The sequence below is a fragment of the Homo sapiens genome, chromosome X (genome assembly GCF_000001405.40).
Source record: "Homo sapiens chromosome X, GRCh38.p14 Primary Assembly".
Lineage (NCBI taxonomy): Eukaryota > Metazoa > Chordata > Mammalia > Primates > Hominidae > Homo > Homo sapiens.
The window spans coordinates 3,635,668-3,658,597 of NC_000023.11; the positions used below are offsets into that span (position 1 = coordinate 3,635,668).

The 22,930-nt window shown below is 43.8% G+C and overlaps 1 protein-coding gene across 1 annotated transcript in view; it reads right to left on the bottom strand.

Annotated features, from left to right (window-relative positions):
* Positions 1–22,930, bottom strand: part of PRKX (protein kinase cAMP-dependent X-linked catalytic subunit) — a 109,310-nt gene that overhangs the window by 31,328 nt on the left and 55,052 nt on the right. The window contains exons 3-4 of the mRNA NM_005044.5: positions 19,482–19,745; positions 6,185–6,304 (exon numbers count right to left, since the gene is read on the bottom strand). Of these exons, the coding sequence (NP_005035.1) occupies positions 6,185–6,304; positions 19,482–19,745 (384 nt within the window). The remainder of the gene's footprint in view (positions 1–6,184; positions 6,305–19,481; positions 19,746–22,930) is intronic.

Consider the following 22,930-nt stretch of genomic DNA (forward strand, 5'->3'; position numbering starts at 1 on the left):
GCCTCGACTTCCTGGGCTGAAGCAATCCTCCCACCTCAGCCTCCTGAGTAGCTGGGACTACAGGAACATACAACCACACCCAGCTAGTTTTATTTTTATTTTTTGTAGAGATGGGGTCCCACTATGTTGCCCAGGCTGGTCTTGAACTCTTGGGCTTAAGCAGTTCTTCTGTCTCAGCCTCCCAAAGTGCTGGGATGACAGGCATGAACCACCACGTCCAGCCTTTACCTGACTCTTGAGTTAAACTCTCTGGGAGAATAAAACCACAGAAATGGATGAGGAAAGAGAATAGGATGGAAGAAATCGGAGCTGAGCTTGGGTCCTTGGAAAGTGCATGAGTGATTTTGTTCCAGAATGTGCCACACAATTTTCATCTGACCTAAACATGTCTCATTCCATGAAAATAAAATCTGCATCATGATATGATCTCCTTCCTAATCACATGGCAGATTTTACCAAATAGATGGTTTTCCCTGTGCTTAGTGGAAGATTGAGATAATCACTTAAAGCAATAACACAGACAAGGCACAGTCTCACTTGATCCTGCTAAGAGTGGGAATCCAGCAAATGGAGCTGCGATAGGAAAGGTGCAGACACAGGCTGCGAAGGGAGCAGGAAGACTCTGACTGCAGGCCGGCTCCACTTGTATGTGCAGCAGTGCCCTCCCTCCAGCCACCAGAAGTTTCTGGGTTCAAGGAGGTGAGGAGAGCAGCTTGGGAGCATTGCTCTCAGAGGCAGTCAACACATACAAAATTTAGATGGTTTCAGAGCTGCTAATCAGTATAAAGAAAACAGATGGGCTGGTCGGACAGGGCATGGCCCAGGAGAACAGGGGAGGCCCCAGAGGGCTGTGGGAGCAGGTGACAGGTGAGCCTGCAGCATGTGCAGTGGAAGAGAAAGGGCCAGCCCTGGCTGGGTGTGGTGGCTCACGCCTGTAACCCCAGCACTTTGGGAGGCCGAAGCAGGTGGATCACTTGAGGTCAGGAGTTTGAGGCCAGCCTGGCCAATATGGTGAAACCCCCTCTCTACTAAAAATACAAAAATTAGCTGGGCGTGGTGGCGCACACCTGTAATCCCAGCTACTCAGGAGGCTGAGGAAGGAGAATTGCTTGAACCTGGGAAGCAGAGGTTGCAGTGAACCAAGATTTGCGCCACTGCAGTCCAGCCTGGGTGACAGAGCGAGACAAGAAAGCAGAGGTTACAGTGAGCCAAGATTGTGCCACTGCACTCCAGCCTGGGTGACAGAGCGAGGCGGAACAGAAAGGAAAGGAAGAAGGAAAGGAAATGAAAGGAAAGGAAAGGAAAAAGGGGAAAGGGGAAAAGGGAAAGGGGAAAGGAAGAGGGAGAGGGGAAAGGAAAAGGAAAGGAAGAAGGGAAGGGAAAGGGAAGGGAGGAAGGAGAGAGAGAGAGAGAGGGAGGGAGAGAGGAAGGAAGGAGAGAGGGAGGGAGGGAGGAAAGGAAAGGGAAGGAAAGGAAAGGGAAAAAGAAAAGAAGGAGGAAGGAAGCCAGCCTTTGGGCAGGGGGACAGGTCAGGCTTCCTGGCACGTTTAAAAAGCAGTGGGAAGACAAGGAGGGGCCAGGCTGTTGTCTAAGAGGGGTGGACAACCCACAGGCAGACCGTCTCAGAACCTCATATGATAACGAGCCTCCGATTCTGCTCCAGTCATCCGGGAAGCAACAAGCGGGCTCCCAGGGAATAGGGACACAGCTGATGGGTACGTGGACAGGATGCCTGCAGCTGCTTCCAGGAAAATGTACTGCAGGCAGGAGGGGATGCAGGAGACTGAGAAGGCTTGGGGTGGTCCAGGCGAGCTCAGGCCGGCTGGAGCTGGGGAAGAGCACAGGAATGCCTGGGAGAGTTGGGGTCGGCGAAGCTGGTAACTCTCAAAACACCCACCCATGTGAAGAGACACAGGGCTGCTGAGAAATTGAAAAAACAATATTCACCCAGAAATAGACTCTAATTAGAAAAAAGGAAAATAAAAATAGGCTTACTGTGAATCAATAGCTCCCTGCCTCATGAAATGCACAGGTCAGCAGACTGGGCTTTGATTGGGAGACGGTTATTCATTTAATTTAATTATTCATTTTCTTTCTTTTTTTTTTTTTTCTTTTTGAGATGGAGTCTCACCTCTGTTGCCCAGGCTGGAGTGCAGTGGTGCGATCTCGGCTCACCGCAACCTACCCGCCTCCTAGGTTCAAGCGATTCTCGTGCCTCAGACTCCCGAGTAGCTAGGATTACAGGCACCATGCCTGGCTTTTTTTTGTATGTGTAGTAGAGACGGGGTTTTACCATTTTGGCCAGGCTGGTCTCGAACTCCTGACCTCAGGTGATCCAACCACCTCGGCCTCCCAAAGTGTTGGGATTACAGGTGTGAGCCATGGTGCCTGGCCTAATTATTCATTTTCAATTAGCCTAATGATTTATTACATTACAATTAGGTTATTTTCTATTCTATTGTATTCTAATATATTTAAATATTCCAATGTTATAGCCTATTAACAATTCTGGTAACTTTATATAATTCGAATACAGTCATTCTAAGAGTGTAATATTCTATTCTTTTTAAATTTATTTTTATGTATTTTTAACTTCAGCGTACCCTGAGACTAATATTGTTTTAACTATAGTCTAATAGTTCTATGTTGTATTCTAACAATATTATGTCCTAATAGTATATTGTATTCTAATAATAGTCTACTCTATCCTAGAATCAATAAAATTTGGGGCACACGAACCTCACTCTATTTAAAACCATTAGACTACAGGATACAACGATCCTCAGGCAATGCTGCCCTCGTGTGGTCAGTGTTATCACCGAAGGAAAATGTGGTGCTTTTCCTTGGGTGGACGCTGATCAATATGCCTAAGTTATTTTTAACCTTTTGGGTTTGCCTAGGACATAATGGGCTAGGGTGCATATTGAGAAGTTTGGTTCTATATGACTTGTAGGCATGTCTCAGCAAAGAGTAATGGAAAATTCAAAAGACCAACAGGCCGGTAGGTAGGTAGATTATTGATAGCTAGATAGACAGAAAGGTAGAGATAGAGGGATAGGTAGGTAAGTAGATGATTGATAAATACATAGATATATAGAAAAGCAGATAGATGAATAGGTAGATAGATGATTGATAGATGGATAGGTAGGGAGGTAAACAGTTACATAGAAAGACAGATGATAAATAGATGGATAGGCACATAGATAAATAGGAAGTAGATGGATAGATTGGTACATGAATGACAGATAGATGATAGGTAAATACATAGATAACAGGTAGGTAGGCAGATAAAAAGATCGTAGAGATAAAGAGATGGAGAGAGATGGATATATAAATATATAAATGACAACTTAGATGATAGATAAGGATAAATGGATAAACAGATACATACATACTTACAAAATAGGTAGACCATAGAGATAGACAGGGATAGGTGTGTGGGTGGGTGGGTGGGTGGATGGATGGATGGATGGAAGGGTGGGTGGATGGATGGATGGATGAAGGGGTGGGTGGATGGATGAAGCGGTGGGTGGGCAGGTGGGTGGATGGATGAAGGGGTGGGTGGGTGGATGGATGAAGGGGTAGGTGGGTGGATGGATGGATGGATGGATGGATGAAGGGGTGGGGGGGTCGGGGGGTGGATGGATGAAGGGGTGGGGTGGTAGATGGATGAAGGGGTGGGGGTGGATGGATGAAGGGGTGGGGTGGTAGATGGATGAAGGGGTAGAGGGGTGGGGGGGTGGGTGCATGGATGGATGAAGGGGTGGGGGTGGATGGATGAAGGGGTGGGGGGGTGGATGGATGAAGGGGTAGGGGGTGGGGGAGTGGGTACATGGATGGATGAAGGAGTGGGTGGGTGGATGGATGACGGGGTGGGTGGGTGGATGGATGAAGGGGTTGGGGGGTAGGTGGGTGGATGGATGGAAAAGTATATAAACATAGATAAATAGACAGGTGGGTAGATGGATGGATGGATGATAAACAATACACATGGATAGCTAGACAATGAAATACAGGTTTTTACGGGTTCCACTCTCCTCCTGCGGCATCTCAGGCTCCGGTTTTGTGGTGGAATTCTTTGGTAGTGCTTGTTCAACATCGTTCTGATCCCTAAGCTAGTGTGGGAATTAACGGATTCACTTTCTTTATAAAAGAGGGCAGAGATAAGCACATGGGACGATGACCCCTGTCTGCTCCCCAAACAAAGTCAGCGACTGCCTGGATTTCCTGAGGTGGATGTTAGAATGTCACATGCTCCACACCCCCAGGAACAAGCGCTCGGTGCTCCCCACCAGCAGGACCTGGCTTAGACACGCCTTCCAGGCAGGAGAATGCCTCTCTTCCTTCCCTCCTTTGTTTCCAACTGAAAGGGAAGGTTCCCCAGTAAAACTCTGGTCTTTACCCCCTGCAGGGAATCAGAGAGATGTGAGGGAGGATCTGGCTTTTGCGACAATGGAGGCCACTCAGAGGATACGCTGGTGTCTGTCTTTGAGACTCAGGGGCAAGCAGAAGAAAGAAGGAAACAGGAAAAGAGAGAACCTAGGAGGCAGAGTGTCGGCTGTGGCAAAGCGCGGCAGAGGCTCCCCCAACCGGTGTTCTGGGCCCTCGCTGGCTGGGCTTCCTCTCGTCTTCATCCCAGAGAGAAGAGCCTTTCGTGCAGAGCCACATGGTGCAACAGTTCCTCTGACACGTAGCTCACTCCTTCCTACAGGTTCCTATCTGGAAAAGTGCCACGCTACTGTGTCATCTTAGCACTAACAACGGAACGAGGATGACGCCCACGTCCTGGGTTTCCAAGTGTTGCGTGCTTCCTTTGCGTTTCTGGTCTAGTCATAGTGGAGCTGTCTCAGGCATATGCTAGACTTGAACACTCAATCATGCTGACGTCCCAACAAATGACCGACCTCTGTTATGTGGTTGCAGGGTGGATGGCACCTCTCCTGACTTCCAAATCTCACCCAACACAGGTATCACAGGCGTTGGAACGAGAGTAACTCCATCCTGAACAGGGGCCGGGTAAAATGAGGCTGAGACCTACTGGGCTGCACTCCCAGACGGTTAAGGCATTCTAAGTCACAGGACAAGATAGGAGGTCAGCACAAGATACAGGTCACAAAGACCCTGCTGATAAAACAGACTGCAGTAAAGCCGGCCAAATGCCACCAAAACCAAGATGGCGACAAGTGACCTCTGATCGTCTTCATGGCTCATTATACATTAATTATAATGCATTAGGTACTAAAAGACACTCCCACAAGGGCCATGACAGTTTACGAATGCCATGACAAGGTCAGGATGTTACCCTGTATGCTCTAAAAAGGGGAGGAACCCTCAGCTCCAGGAATTGCCCACCACTTTCCCGGAAAACTCACGAAAAATCCACCCCTTGTTTAGCATATAGTCAAGAAATAACCATCGAAATAGCCAAACAGCAGCCCTCAGGGCTGCTCTGCCTAAGGAGTAACCATACTTTTATTCTTTTACTTTCTTAATAAACTTGCTTTCACTTTATGGACTTTCCCCAAATTCTTTATTGCGAGAGATCCAAGAACCCTGTGCTGGGGTGTGGGTCGGGACCCCTTTCCTGTACCACAGACATACGGTTTTAGGAAAGAACATATTCTCGCCTTCCTTGCCAGCTGTTCATCCAGAAACCACTGAACTGTATTTGGCTGATTTACCTTGACCCAACCTGTGCCCCCCTGAGCTCTGCAGGTTACTTCAGAAAGGGTCTGTGCAGAAGATTCATTTTTTAATTTAATTTTTAAATTCTTTTTAAGACTAAACAAGCGCAGAAGTGATAAGGGGGGAAAAGAGTAGAGCAAGGAGTTCAATCTGTAGCTGACTGTGAAAATCAACTGAGATAACTCACTACCTTCAGAGCAGCCCAGAATGTTAATTGTATATTTAAAGAAGATATGGATATTTCAATATAAAAATCTCAATGGGCATGCATGGGTGGTTCCTTCACAAGTTTGGGTTTTTTGCCTCTTATTCACACAAGCTCAATTGCTAATTCACATTGCCAACCTCAGCAGGGCAGCAGATGTGTGTGCAGCCACACTGTGTGTTTGCGACACTCACGTACTGTTTTCAAGGTTACAGAAATGCCGAGTGGACGAATGGGTGGGGGAAGGGGGTGCTGGCCTGTAAGATGAAGATTCTCTACAGAGACTCTACTTACCCCGAAAGCATCTCGAATATCAGGATGCCGAGGGCCCACCAGTCCACGGCCCTTCCGTGGCCCTTGCTCTGAATGACTTCGGGGGCTAGGTACTCGGGTGTTCCACAGAGGGTCCAAGTCCTATATGGGCGACAGAGACAGGCCCCCACAACACTCAGTGGTGCTTGGCTAATGCAGTCACCTTAGAAGCTCTGATTGTTACAATAACTTCGTTGAGTAAAACCACGCTCCGTTTACCCTCCTGTGCACATATTTTAATGTGTAAAGACAGTAACATTGTTTTCGCTGATTCCTTTCCATAGAAACATTTCTTAACGGGCTTGGAAGCTAAGAATTGGTTTTATCATCCTTGCTCCTGTTGCTGGTACTGTTACCACTGTTACTCAGAAGCAAAAAAAAACCTCATTTTTTTTGAGTTATTTATACCTTAGTATAAATCATAAAGAATAAAATTAATTAATTAAAGGAAAAAGAACGAGATCATGTCCTCTGCAGCAACATGGACGGAGGTGGAGAGGCCATTCTCCTAAGTGGACTCACATGTTCTCACTTGTATGTGGGAGCTAAACACTGGGGACACACAGACACAGAGAGGGGGAAAAGCAGACACCTGGCCGCTGGAAGGAGAAGCACAGGAGAAGGATGAGGATGGAAAATCTACCTGTCAGGTATGATGCTTATTACCCAGGTGACAAAATAATCAGTACACCAAGTGTCATACAGTTTACCCATGTAACAAACCTGCACGTGTACCCCTGAACCTAAAAGTTCTTTAAATAAATAAATAAATAAAATTAAGTAAAAAGAAAATCCTTTATCCAAAAAAAAAAGTGGCAGTGAAAAGAATAATTCAAGAACTCGCTTAGGCCGGGCATGGTGGCTCACACCTATAATCCCAGCACTTTGAGAAGCCAAGGTGGGCAGATTACTTGAGGCCAGGAGTTCAAGACCAGCCTGGCCAACATGGTGAAACCCCATCTCTACTAAAAATACAAAATTAGCCAGGCATGGTGATGCATGCCTATAGTCCAAGCTACTCCGGAGGCTGAGGCAGGAGAAATGTTTGAACCCAGGAGGCGGAGGTTGCAGTGAGCCAAGAATGCGCCACTGCACTTTACACTCCAACCTGGGCGACAGAGTGAGACTCTCTCTCAAAAAAAAAAAAAAAAAAAAAAAAAAGGTGCAAGAGCTGGGTTTGTACTTGTAACTGAGACTGGATGGTTTGCAAAGCTTACGTATGTTCTCTTTGGCTCTTTACACCCCCACCCCCCAAAAAAACATTTCTTGCCCCCTGGAAACCAGTGTAAAGACAGAAATACACTTCCTCCCCTGCATACCATTTTCCTTTAAAGGTGCCTGCTTTGTGCTCCAAAAGCAAAGGGGTGGCCTCAAGCAGGAAGCCTGTACTTCTTCCCCTAAGAAAGCTCTGGAATAAAAAATCACTTTCTTTACACTAGACCTCGCTCTTGCTAATTGCACTCTGCAAACGGCGAGCGGCTGAACCTGCATTTTGGTTACAGAAGAATCTGCTAAATAAAGTCAGGGCAAGATAACAAGGACTGCAGCAGAAGCTGGAAGACTCATGGGCTGGAAAGGAGCTGAGTATCAGTAACCCCAGAGAGGGGGCCTTGTCTGGGCCGTACTCCATTGGCGCTCTACTGCTGGGTAGAATGTCGCTTCGGGCTTTCAGCAATTCAGACCTGTAGCACAAATGCGGGCCACATCCACCCTTCCTGCCAAGTGCTGCCCTGGTGTGTGGAGCCTGTCTGTAGACAGGCAGAAAGAAGCAACACCCTCAGAGGGAAAAAATATATAGATGCTTTGCAAAAGACCCTTCCCTCCCACCACTCAGATCAATGAAAGAAGAAACCCTTATTTTGTAAGTTGAATGTAAAGAGAACAAAAAACAAGTTCCACAGAGTCTGGTAATATACATGTTTATCCACTCTCAAGTTCTTTGCACAATGTATCAAGCATGTGCAAAGCCTATTTTATACCCAGCACATCTTGCCTGAGTCCGCACTGTTTGCAGTGGTGTGGGCACGTATCTTGGCTTCAGCTCCTCAGCTTCCTGCTTGCAGGAACCCACCCAAAATGTTGTTACTGTTATCTTTCCTTCCCTTCCCCACCACACCTCCATACCCCATCTCTTTCCAGACAACAGACTTTTCCACACTAATCTGTAAGCCCTTGGGATAACAACAAACTGGCTGCCATCCAAATTTCAAATTCTGTCGGCCATCCATGAAATAAAAGTACCACAAGGTCAGGCATGGTAGTTCACACCTGTAATCCTAGTACTTTGGGAGGTTGAGGCAGGAGGATTGCTTTAGGCTAGGAGTTTCAGACCAGCTTGGACAACACAGCAAGACCACTCCTTTACAAAAAAAAAAAAAAAAAAAAAGCCAGGTGTGCTGAAGTGCACTTGTAGTCTCAGCTAGTCGGGAGGCTGAGATGGAAGGATCACTTGAGCCCAGGAGGTCAACACTGCAGGGAGCATGATAGTGTCACTGTACTCCAGCCTGAGCAACAGAGCAAGACACTGTCTCAAAAAAAAAAAAAAAAAAAAAAAATTACTGCAGGATGTAGCAGATATAAATCAGGAAACCAGGAAAGAAGACAAGGAGAGAAATTGAGTTCTCCTCCCATGGAAGCATGTGGAAGGGACTTACTCTCTATCTGCAGGTTAGAGCTAAGTATGGAACAGGGACCACCTTGTGGTCCTGTTAAGTGCTTCTCACTCATTAGAATTAAGTCTACAAATGGAAAGTACAATGCGCACTATTTTAGAAACACGCTCTCCCCTGCCCTGCCCAGCAGTTGAATCAACTCCAAGTACACCCTGGCTGCTTCAATGCACGACACTTCTGTCATTCTGCAAGACGAGCGACTTACTGGCCTGCTAGTTTTGTATTTCCACCTTTCTAGCCCATCCAAAGTGGCCTGAAAGTAGCTAAAAGCCTAGATCTTAGCTGATATGAAGCCCAGGTAGAGGCCACAGGTCATGCTACAGGCATTAGCTGCAACTTCTCCACTTACCTTTTGAAAGATGAGGCTCTTTTTGGCTCCGTGTTAGGGTAAGGACACACACCTGAGGTTGTATGAGGCTGTATAAGTATCCAGGTTCTAACTTGCCTCAGGAGGACTCCTGCCCTGTTAGAGTCACTCCTTCCTGCAAAAAGCCCCAACGCCTAGCTGAATGTACAGAGAGACATACGCTGCTATGGAGAGATGCTGACTGCGTGAATGAATATGAGATGAGACAGCCTGAGTGTTATGTCGAGACCACTGGTCTGGGCAGTGAATTATCCACTTCCCTGCTCCTGTCTCCTTTTGCTCACCTGGCTTTTGGGTAGAAGGAAGGTGACACCTGCTGTTCTCAGTTTTCTCACTGTTCTTAGTTTCACTATGGCCGGGGGGAGGGGAGGGAGGAGGCCATGTTAACGAAGGAGAAACAGAGCTAAGGATAGGATTATCTATAAAGTATAGATATCCAATGACTCCTGTGTTCTTAATGCCCACGCCTTCCGCCACACCTGCACTGGTTGAACTGTGCACCCCCCAAAGTCCTAAACCCCAGTATTTGTGAGTGGGACCTTATGTGCAAACACGATCTTTGTAGCTGCAATCAAGTTAAGATGAGATCATCCTGGCTTAGGATGGGGAATAATTGCTTAACAGATACAAGTTCTCTTTTGGGATCGTGAAAATGTTCTGGAACTAGAGAGAGGTGATGGTTGCACGACATGGTAAATGCAATAAATGCCACTCAATTGTGCACGGCAAGATGGTTCAAACAGGCTGGGTACAGTGGCTCATGCCTATAATCTCAACGCTTTGGGAGGCCAAGGTGGGAGGATCACTTGAGCCTCAGAGTTCCAGACCAGCCAAGGCAACATAGCAAGACCCTGTCTGTACAAAAATATTTCAAAGTTAGCCAGTCATGGTGGCTCACACCTCTAGTCTCAAGTACTCAGGAGGCTGAGGGAGGAGGATTGCTTCAGCCCAGGCATTGGAAGCTGCAGTGAGCCATGATCGTACCACTGCACTCCAGCCTGGCTGACAGAGGAAGACCCTATTCTGAAACATAAAAAATGTTAATAAAGATGGTTACGATGGTACATTTTAAGTGTATTTTACCACAATAAAAAGAGAAAAAGAGGCCAGGCACGGTGGTTCATGCCTATAATCCCAACACTTTGGGAGGCCGAGGCAAGTGGATCATGAACAGGAGTTCAAGACCAGCCTGGCCAAGATGGTGAAACCCTGTCTCTACTAAAAACTACAAAAATCAGCTGGGCGCGGTGGCAGGCACCTGTAATCCCAGCTACTCCGGAGGCTGAGGCAGGAGAATCACTTGAACCTGGGTGGCAGAGGTTGCAGTGAGCCGAGATCGCACCACTGCACTCCAGCCTGGGCAACAGAGTGAGACTCCGTCTCAAAAAAAAAGAGAGAGAGACAGAGAGAAACGGATGACATCTCCAAGCTGAGTTTCAGTCCAGTCCCTCTTACGTCCTAGCAGGTGGCGTCACCAGCCTCACTTTCTGTCTCTCCTCATGGCTTTATGACATGGTGAGCATGTCACTCAGCTAACAGGGGCATGGTAGGGCTCAGGAGGAAGGACAGCTGATTACAGCTTTTACACTTGATTACAGATACAAATGCATTTTTTCCCTTTTTATCAGAAAAGTATGAGCCAGTGTTTTGTCTGGGTTTGGTAATGCAGGAAATAGATGTTCGCTCAGTACTCATGGTGAAAATACTACATTGCCTTTTCTTATAGGATCTTGGGTTGCAATAAAGCAGCAGGGTGTGGGGTTTTTCATAAAAAGGGAAGATTTTGTCATCTTTTTTTTTATGGGGACACAATCACAGTTCCTAGAACTGTCTGATGGGGACAAACAGTTGAGAATTTCAGGCCCGTGAAGGGAGAAGGTGTGTGTTTGCGAGCATGGGACAGCTTCCGATGGCCAGCCCAGGCCCTGGGAGGGGTTTCCTCGGTGACAATGGCTCCTAGGCACCACTGATCAGCAGGGAGAAGGGTGCCTGTCACCAACCTCGGCACAGTAATACCCACGTCCTAGTATGAACTACAGCAAAATTAAAAGGGGCTCAAGGGAAAGTAACAACACCGACTGCAAACAGACTCGACATCTCAGGCCCTCCTTGACTTCCGTTAAATACTCAAAGTAAGAAGCTAGGGGAAAAGGTCTAAAGTAACTAGAAAGACTTTTCTGGTGTTATGAAATATATATAAAACGATTATGTATTTATAAATGTATATGTTTAAATTTGAACTTATAATCTAAACACTAAATGTGTAACACATACTAATATATAAATTTAAATTTTAAAAATAAATATATATTTATAAAATTATATATAAAACTATGGATAATAATGTATAATTATAGCTACATATAACTTTCTAAACATATTTATACCATAATTTATGAGCACATATAATTATTTGGTAGCCATGTTTATAAAATTAAATATGTAATATTAAATATAAAACTGTATCCATTTATTATATATTTAATTGTATTAAATTATTTTTTAAATATAATTATGTTTAACTAAAAATTACATATTTAATATATAATTATAATTAGAATATATTAGTATATTAATATATACATACATTGTTATATTAGTAATTAACACATTACATTAATATCTTTATGTATTAAATTTATATATGAATATACTAAAATATTTAATATATTAAAGAGATAAATATATTTAAATATATAAATTTAATGTCGGATATATTATTTATGTGTAAATATTACAATTATATAGTTATTTATAATTATATACATAATTATGATTTTATATGTATGATTTTCTAATGTGGTAAAATACACACAGCATAGAATTTTCCATTTTAAGCATTTTTAATTGTATAGTTCGGTGGTGGGAAGTCCACTGACCTTCGTGTTCAACCCTCCCTACCGTCCACTGCTGGAACTTCTTCATCATTCCAAACAGAAACTCCATCCTCATTAAACAGCATCTTCCCCTTCCCTGCACCTCCCCGGCCCCTGGCACCCACCATTCTACTTTCTGTCCTTATGATTTGGAAGAATCTAGGGCCCTCCTACAAGTAGAATCACACGACATGAGACCTTTTTGGTCTGGCTTATTTCGTCCAATATCATGTTTTCAAGGTTTATCAACGCGTAGAATGTGTCAGAATTATATTCCTTTTCAAGGCCAAATAATATTCCACTGCACAGACAGAGCTCCTGGCCAATTTTAACCAGTTCACAAAGCAAATGGCCTGGCTCAGGGGTGGGCAAATATTTTCTGTAAAGAGCCAGACGGCAAATATTTTAGGCCTTGTGAATCACATGGTCTCTGTTACAAATATCCAGCTCTGCTACGGTAGCTCAAAAGCCCCCAAGATGTGACTGTGTTCCAATAAAACTTTATTAACAGACACATAGGGGGCTGGATTTAACCTATGCAAGGCTAATTTTTTTGTTTTTGATGTTTTGTAGAGATGAGGTCTTGCTATGTTACCCAGGCTGGGTTTTTTTTTTTTAAATAGTTGTCAGATGTGATAATGGCACTGAAGTTCTTTTTTAAAGGGAGTTATCTGTTAAAGATAGGATAAAGTGCACCTGCTTTAAAATAACTCAAGAAACAAATGGGCAAAGAGAAAAAAAACAAAGTGACAAAGCTTTGATAACAATCGAAGCTGGGTGATGGGGCCATAAGGTTTCAATGTGAATTACTCTCTCTACTCCTGTGTGTGTGTGTGTGTGTGTGTGTGTGTGTGTGTGTGTGTGTGTGTGTGTGAAAGGGGTAAGTAGTAATTTTGAAAGACTAGGTTCAATGTTATCCCTATAAGGCTAGAAATAAAAATCCAGAGGACAGTAATCAATGTAACATCTGGATTTAAAATGCTACAACAGAGGAACTAGGAAAGAGCTGTTGCACCTGGCATGGTGGCTCACGGCTACCATCCTGGCACTTTGGGAGGCCGAGGTGGAAGGATTGCTTGAGGCCAGGAGTTCAAGACTATCCTGGCCAACATAGTGGGACCCTGTCTCAAAAGAAACACAAAAAAACACAAACAAACAAAAAGCTGTCGCAGAGAAATAAAAAACACCAAAAACAAACAAAAAAGAGCTGTTGCAGAGAAAGAAAACCATCTGTTATGGTTTAAAGACAGATGTATAAAGGTTGAGCATCTTTAATCCAAATCTGAAATCCCAAATGCTCCAAAAGTCAATACTTTTCCAGCACCGACATGAGGCTCACAGCGCAAAGGAAATCCTCACTGGAGCATCTTGGATTTCAGATTTTCAAATTAGGGATGCTCACAGGTAAGTGTAATTCAAATATTCCACAATCTGAAAAAAATCTAAAATCCAAAACAATTCTGGTCTGAAGTATTTCAGGTAAGGGATGCTTGTGTTATGCATTTGAATTATAAAATCAAATTAAACACATCAGTATTTTATTTTGACCATTTCATAAAACCAGAAATAATTCTAGTTTGCCACCAAATCTTTTAGGGGAGCTATCTAGATAACATAAAGTGTGTGTGCAAAATATTTACAATACAAACGTAATATTGCTGTTAGAAAACAAGAGCCTGGTGAACGCAAGTCACAAAAGAACACCATCTGAACATACTGACAACCTAGGAAAGTCAGAAATCAAGTCACCAAGAGCAGTGGTTTAAAATAAGTAGGGTACAAGTCATCCAGTTAACAGGGTTGCTAGGGGAGGGGAGGGGAGGGGAGGGGAGGGGAGGGTTAGAGGAGGCGAGGGGAGGGGAGGGGAGGATAGAGGAGGGGAGGGGAGGCGAAGGAATGGGAGGGGAGGGAAGGGGAAGGAATGGGAGGGGAGGGAAGGGGAAAGAATGGGAGGGGAGGGAAGGGGAAGGAATGGGAGGGGAGGGGAGGGGAGGAAGGAAGGGAGGGAGGGGAGGGAGAGGAAAGGAGGGAGGGAGGGAGGGAGGGAGGAAGGAAGGAAGGAAGGGAGGGAGAGGCTGAGTACCGTAGCTCCCGCCTGTAATCCCAAAACTTTGGGGGGCCAAGGTTGGAGGACTGCTTCAGTTTAGGAGTTCAAGACCAGCCCTGGCAACATAGTGAAACCCCGTCTCTACAAAAAATCCAAAAATTAGCCAGGCAGGGTGTGCAAGCCTGTAGTTGCAGCTACTTGGGAGGCTGAGAGACAGGAGGATTGCTTGAGCCTGCAAGTTCGAGGCTGTGGTGAGCCATGGTTGCACTACTGCACTCCAGCCTGGGTGACAGAGTGAGACCCTGTCTCAAAAAAGAAACAAAAAACAAAGAAAGAAATTCATGTAGTGAGTAGATTACATTACAACATGCTTAAGTATGTTTTTACCCCATGCTATAAGAGAAAAATGGCGGGGCACGGTGGCTCACGCCTGTAATCCCAGCACTCTGGGAGGCCGAGGCGGGCGGATCACGAGGTCAGGAGATCGAGACCATCCTGGCTAACACAGTGAAACCCCGTCTCTACTAAAAACACAAAAAATTAGCCGGGCGTGGTGGTGGGCGCCTGTAGTCCCAGCTACTTGGGAGGCTGAGGCAGGAGAATGGCGTGAACCCGGGAGGCAGAGCTTGCAGTGAGCCGAGATCGCACCACTGCACTCCAGCCTGGGCGACAGAGCGAGACTCCTCTCCAAAAAAAAAAAAAAAAAAAAGAGAGAAAAATGAGAAACAGACTTCTTTCTGGGATATGTTCAAAAATGTTATTCAAGGCCGGGCACGGTGGCTCACGCCTGTAATCCCAATGCTTTGGAAGGTCGCGGCAGGTGGATCACTTGAGGCCAGCTGTTCAAGACCAGCCTAGGCAACATGGTGAAACCAGGTCTCTACTAAAAATACAAAAATTAGCCAGGTGTGGTGGTACATGCCTGTAATCCCAGCTACTTGGGAGGCTGAAATGGGAGGATCGCTTGAGCCCAGGAGGCCAAGGTTGCAGTGAGCCAAGATCCCACCACTGCACTCCAGCCTGAGTGACAGAGTAAGACCCTGTCTTTAAAAAAAAAAAAAAAAAAAAAAAAAAATTATTCAAGATGAGGCCTCCCTGTTTAGTTCCATCTATTCTGTAGTGGTCCACGATACAGTGGTGAATTTCAGTTTTATTCAAAAGGCACAGGTACTGTTTGAATCCTGAATCAGAGGCAGGGCCATGTATCTGCCCCCATGAACACAACTTCCCTGGGGCCGGGCCAGCAGAGAGATGCTTCGTTACAATGATGGTCAAAAAAAAAAAGGAGAAAAAAGCCCCCACAAAAAAAAAGTTTCCAGAAGCTACACTACCCATACAGAGGAAGATGCAGTTCTTTGCAAAAGCAATCTATCAATATGGTAATGAGACATTTTCTAAGATTTTCACATGTTCATTAAGTAAAATAATTGCTGCATGTTATATACGAAACCATTTTCGTCCATTTAAATAGATATGATGAATTAACTGGACAGTAACATGGTTTGTCAAACTTATAAACAAGTGAATATATGAAATATTTTATCTGTTTTCTTTGAATTAGACTTGCAAATAAAATGACTTTAAAAGAATTTACTAATATACCGTGTGCTGCCAAGAGAGGGCAGCACAGATGCTATAAATCAATATTTTAAAAAATCCTGCATCTTTCCTACTCCATGTAAAATGCACCTAATTTCCATGTGCCTTATTTTTGGAAATGTAGTACAAGAAATACTATAGGGGAAAATCAGATTGAATGTAAACGCATCATAAAATTTTCCTAGGAGAGCCCTTTTCTAAAAGCTGCCAGAGAAGAGAGTCATTTAGTGTAAAACTGCCCCCACATCAAGTTTCTCAAAATGCAGACGGTTTTACAATGTTAGGAGTATAATTAGTGTAATTATCACCTTACCCAACCCCACCACATCAAAGAATATGGAAATATAAAATGTATTTTCTAGGCTTGTCTGACCAAGACAGAAGCCGATAGCCATGTGCAATCCTGGGTATTTGAAATGTAGCTTGTCTACCAAGGAACGGATGTCATTATCTAATTCTACTTTCATTAATTTAATCTAATTGAAAAACTGACACTCAGTGTAGTTACCAAAAATCTTTCTGAGTATTTTTCAGCAGCTTGGGCGTGTGAATTTACTTTTTATGACTGTTGATTTTATGAATGTAAATTAAAGATCCATTGGGAGCTAAGCTATGAGGACGCTGAGGCATAAGAACCATACAACGGACTTCAAGGACTTGGGGTAAAGGGTGGGAGGTGGGTGAGAGATAAAAGACTACATACTGGGGCCGGGTGCGGTGGCTCACACCTGTAATCCTAGCACTTTGGGATGCCAAGGTGGGCGCATCACAAGGTCAGGAGATTGAGACCATCCTGGCTAACACAGTGAAATCCCGTCTCTACTAAAAATACAAAAAATTAGCCGGGCGTGGTGGCGGGCGCCCGTAGTCCCAGCTACTTGGGGGGCTGAGGCAGGAGAATGGCGTGAACTCGGGAGGCAGAGCTTGCAGTGAGCTGAGATCATGCCACTATACTCCAGCCTGGGCGACAGAGCCAGACTCCATCTCAAAAAAAAAAAAAAAAGTTAGCTAGGCCTGGTGGCGGGCACCTGTAATCCCAGCTACTTGGGAGGCTGAGGCAGGAGAATCACTTGAATCTGGGAGGCGGAGGTTGCAGTGAGCCGAGATTGTGCCACTGCACTCCAGCCTGGACGACAGAGCGAGACTTCGTCCCAAAAAAAAACAAAAAAACAAACAAAAAAGGATAACTGTTTTCTCCTCAATGGAGTATGTGTGTGTACGGAAACATATCTATATATACTTGTTCCAGGCTGAAATGTATCCCTTAAACCTTATATGCTGCAGTCCTAACCCCCAGAACTTCAGAATGTGACTATATGGGAAAGAGCATCTTTAAAGAGGTCATTAAGGTAAAACGAGGTCACTAGGGTGGGTCCTGATCCAAGAGGACTGGTGTCCTCATAAGAAGAGGAGATGAGGATACAGACATGCACAGAGGACAATCCTGTGAGGACACAGGGAGGAGACAGCGTCTCCAAGCCAAGGAGAGAGGCTTCAGGAGGAACCAGCCCTGCCCACACCTGGATCTCAGACCTTAGCCTCCATGACAGTGAGAGGAAAAGGTCTATTCTTTAAAATGCCCAGTGTGTGGTCTTTTGTCAAGACAGACTGGTTAAATGAATCCAATCATGGAAAAAAAAATACATATACATGTATTATAAGCTGAATGTATGTGCCCCCCGCCAAAATTCCTATGTTGAAATCATCATCCCCAAAGTGATAGGATTAGGAGGTGGGGCCTTTGGGAGGTGATGAGGTCACGAAGGTGGAGTCTCATGAATGGGATGAGTGCCCTTACAAAAGGGGCCCCAGAGAGCCCCCTCGCCCCTTCCACCATGTGAGGACACAGCGAGAAGGCGCCGTCTACGAACCAGGAAGCTGGTTCCCTCCAGGTACAGAATCTGTCGCACCTCGATCTCGGACTTCCAGCCTCCAGAGCTGTGAGCCATGAATGTCTGCTGTTGAGGCTGCCCAGTCTATGAGTGTGTGTTAGTGCAGCCCGCACTGGCTGAGACGACATGTAATGGTTTGTTTCATGTGTTGATGGGCCGTGGGGTGCCCAGATGTTTGTTCAAACACTGTTTTGGGGTATGTCTGTGTGTTTCCAGAAAAGAAACACATATATCATACATGTCATATAGTATGATATAGGTATACTATATATATTATATACTATGTAATATATATATTATATATAATATACTATGTAATATATATATTATATATAATATACTATGTGATATATATAATATATATAATATACTATGTGATATATATAATATATATAATATACTATGTGATATATATAATATATATAATATACTATGTGATATATATAATATATATTATATACTATGTGATATATATAATATATATTATATACTATGTGATATATATATTATATATTATATACTATGTGATATATATATTATATATTATATACTATGTGATATATATATTATATATATTATATACTATGTGATATATATAATATATATTATATACTATGTGATATATATAATATATATTATATACTATGTGATATATATATTATATATATTATATACTATGTGATATATACTATATATATTATATACTATGTAATATATATATTATATATATTATATAGTATAATATACTATATAATATATATATGTAGTATGTGTAATATATAATACGTATAATATATACTATATAGAGTATAGTGATATGTATGATATAGTATGATATAGGTATGCTATATAATATATATTATATATTATAATATATAGTATACCTATATGATACTATATCATAGTCATTGTATACTATATAATATATAGTATAATATATACTATACATATATAATACTATATCATATGTACATAAAATATACTATATGTTATATACAATAATATAGTATTATATATATTTCTATTTAATATACATATATAGTGGAAATATATATATACATAATAGAAATACAGATAACAGAAAAAAATAAGTGCACGTGTGTGTGAGCAGGTGTGTATGGAATATTCAATTTGGTTTTTTTTTTTTTTTTTTTTGTTTTGTTTTTTTTTGAGATAGGATCTTGCTCTTTTACCCAGGCTGGAGTGCAGTGGTATAATCACAGCTCACTGCAGCCTCAACTTCCGGGGCTCAAATAATCCTCCAACCTCAGCCTCCTAAGTAGCTGGGACTACAGGGATCCACCACCATAATCAACTTTTTTTTAAATATATATATTTCTGTAGAGACGGGGTCTCACTAGGTTGTCCACAGTGGTCTCAAACTCCTGGGCTCAAATGATTCTCCCACCTCGGCGTCCCAAAGTGCTGGGATTACAGGTGTGAGCCACAGCACCTGGCATTTAATTTTAAGAGATATTGTATCCTATTCGATGCAGATCTATTTTATAGTCAGGGCAATTCAAACTTGGATATGACTCATTTCCTCATCATTTCGGATCAATAGCGGATATGTGGTGTTCTGATTTCCTCCACGGTGCCAGTGAAGGAGACTGACTTCCTGCCCACTGGCTCTTTGCCAGCAATCGCAGCCCACCTAAAACGAGCTGTGGGTCAACCTGGCTCTCTCATCCCTGGTTGCAAGTGTCTCCTACACATGAGAGTTAAACTCTGGTTCCCAATCTTTCCCTGCCTGACCTGCCACAACTACCACCACCTTTCTCATTGCCAAGCAGTGTAGATTCCATCGGAGTTCACGTTCCTCTTACCTGTCTACCAGCTTCTTGGCGAACCCAAAGTCCGTGAGCTTAATGTGGCCATCCCTATCCAGCAGGATGTTCTCTGGCTTCAAGTCCCTGTAGACGATCTCTTTGGAGTGCAGGTACTCGATGGCACAGATGATCTCTGCAGAGTAGAAGAGCCCCGTGGTGCTGGAGAAGCGCCCCCGGTTGCGCAGGTAGCTGAAGAGCTCGCCGCCCGGCACGTACTCCATGAGCATGTAGAGGAAGCGCTCGTCATGCCACGTCCAGAACCTGCGGGGACAGACAGCACATGCTCAGGGCCCCGCCAAGGCAGGGCAGGGGGTACGCCGTCAGCTAGGTGTTGGGGTACAGATGCAGCTAGATACCAAAATGTGTGTACAGACAGACAGTAATAGCTGGGGACAGATGTCGGGACATGGAGCACACAGATATCAGCACATGGGTAAAGACGGATGTTAATATATGGGTACAGATAGGTGTTCGAATGCACGTACATACAGATGTTACGATGTGCTTAGAGACAGATGTTAGGATATGGGTGTACATCGGGGCTGATACATGGGTGTAAACAGTGTTACCATATGGTATTAAATATGGATATAGATATATGTTAGCATATAGGTATAGAAAGATGTTAATATGTAGTTATAGATAGATGTTAGGATATGGTTGCAGACAGATATTACAATATGGATATGGATAAGTGTTGGAATACAGGTGTAGACAGATGTTAATATGTAGGTATAGAGAGATGTTAGGATATGGGTGTAGATGGATGTAGACAGGTATTAATATATGGGTGTAGATGGATGTAGACAGGTGTTAGTATATGGGTGCAGATGGATGTTAGATTATGGGTGTAGACAGGTGTTAATGTATGGGCATAGACAAATAAAATACAGATAGATAAATGTTGGAATATAGGTGTAGACAGATGTTAATATGTAGGTATAGATGTTAGGATATGGATGTAGGCAGACGTTAGAATATGGATAGAGATCAATGTTACAATATAGGTGAAGACAGATGATATCTATACGTATAGATGTTACAATATGGGTGTAGATGGATGTCAGGATACGGGTGTAGACAGAGGTTAATATATGGACATAGATGTTAGAATATGGGTGTAGAGAGATGTTAACATATAGGAAGAGACAGATGTTACAATATGGGTGTAGATGGATAGTAGGATATGGGTGTAGAGAGATGTTAATATACACGTAAAGACAGATGTTAGAATATGAACGTAGATAGATATTAACAGAGGTATAGAGAGATGTTAGGATATGGGTATAGACGTGTAGACCGGTGTTGCTCTGTGGGTGCAGACAGATATTAGGATATGGGTGGAAGTAGATGTTAATATGTAGGTGTAGATAGATGCTAATATATGTGATAGACAGATGCTAAGGTGTGCATACAGACAGATGTTAGGATATGCGTGTGTGTAGATGTGACTCTACAGGTATAGACAGGTGCTGAGGTCTGCATATAGAAAGGTGTAATTCATCAGTATAGGTAGATGCTAAGACGTGTGTAGATGTTAAGAGGTGTATAATCAGATACTGGGATAAGCATATAGATGGACATTAAAGTACAAGTTCCACAGATGTTACATAGATGTTGTCTTAGTCCATTCTGGCTGCTATCACAAAAATACCATATACTAGGGGGTCTTACAAATAAGAAAAATGTATTACCCTCAGTTCTGGAGGCTGGAAGTCCGAGGTCGGGGCGCCTGCTGATGAACTGCGTGGTAAGGGCCCATTCCTGAGGGAAGGGCCCTTCTCGCTGTCCTCCCATGGACCAAGGGGAAACGGGCTCCCTCAGGCCCCTTCACCGAGGGCACTGGTCCTGTTCAGCGGCTTCACCCTCACGATCTAATCACTTCCCCCAAAGCTCCACCTTTTAATTCCATAGCTTTGGGGGTTACTGTCTCAATATATGAATTTGGAAAGGACGTATTCAGACAACAGCAGATGTTAAGATATGTGTATCCTGGGACATGGGTAAAAGGTCTCATTGTCTTGGGATGAATGAATAGTAAATATCATGGTCTCATAATAAACCAGCCAACAGTATGCTATGGGCTGAACTGTGTCCTTCCAATATCCACTGTATTTGGAGACAGGTCATGTAAACAGGTGATTACGGTAAAATGTGGTCACTAGAATGGGCCCTATTCCAACAGGACTGGAGTCCTAAGAAGAGGAGATGAGGACACAGACACACACAGAGGGACGACCACGTGAGGACACAGGGAGAAGACAGCGTCTGCAAGCCAAGGAGAGAGGGCTCAGGAGGCACCAGCCCTGTTAAGACGTTCTTCTCAAAATTCTAGCCTCAAAAATTATAAAACAATAAATCAGTGTTGTTTAATCCACACCGTCTATGCTACTTTGTTATGGCAGCACTAACTAACTAACCTACAACACACACATCTTCAGAGATCACACCTGATTCAGTAACCTGGAACTATCATTAAGCCTGAGAATTAACAATAAACTAGCAGACTGCATCCCAAACCTGCTAGGAAAAGGTAGCCCTTTTAAAAAGCCCCAAATGAAGTATTTCGAAGCACTTGCTTGTGGGAGCTTGCCTGAGGTGCTTCTCCTTACAAAGGTGTTGATTAATGGAAGAAAACGCAGCAATGAGAGATTGAGGAAGGTGGGGGTAGGGATGAAAGAAGGAACAGAAGATACTGAGGTGCGTCTGTGCATTCAACATCTCAGCACAAGTTACAAATACAGTTTGGAGAGATACGCACTGATAATGAAAGAACGTTTTCACCTAAAGATGGGACGGGTGGGGTATGAGGCAAGATTTGGAACTAAGGGCTTTGGGATTTTTGTTTGTTTGTTTTTCAGAGAGTTTTGCTCTTGTTGCCCAGGCTGGAGTGCAACGGTGCAATCTCGGCTCACTGCAACCTCCGCCTCCTGGGTGCAAGCGATTCTCCTGCCTCAGCCTCCCAAGTAGTTGGGATTATAGGCGCCCACCACCACGCCCAGCTAATTTTTGTATTTTTAGTAGAGATGGGGCTTCACCATGTTGGCCAGGCCGGTCTCGAACTCCTGACCTCAGGCGATCCACCCGCCTCGGCCTCCAGAAATGCTGGGATTACAGGCATGAGCCACCGTGCCCGGTCTGTTTGTTTCTGAAACAGGTTCTTATTCTGTCTGCCAGGCTGGAGTGCAGTGGTGCAGGTAAGGCTCATGCAGCCTCAACTTCCCGGGCTCGAGCAATCCTCTCACCTCAGCCTCCCAAGTAGCTAGGACTACAGGTGCATGCCACCATGCCTGGCTAATTTTTATTTACTGTTATTTGTAGAGACAGGGTCTCACTGTGTTGCCCAGGCTGGTTTTGAACTCCAGGGCTCCAGCAATCCTCCCGCCTCATCCTCCCGAAGTGCTGGGATTACAAACGTGAGCCACTGTACCTGACCTGGGCTTTGT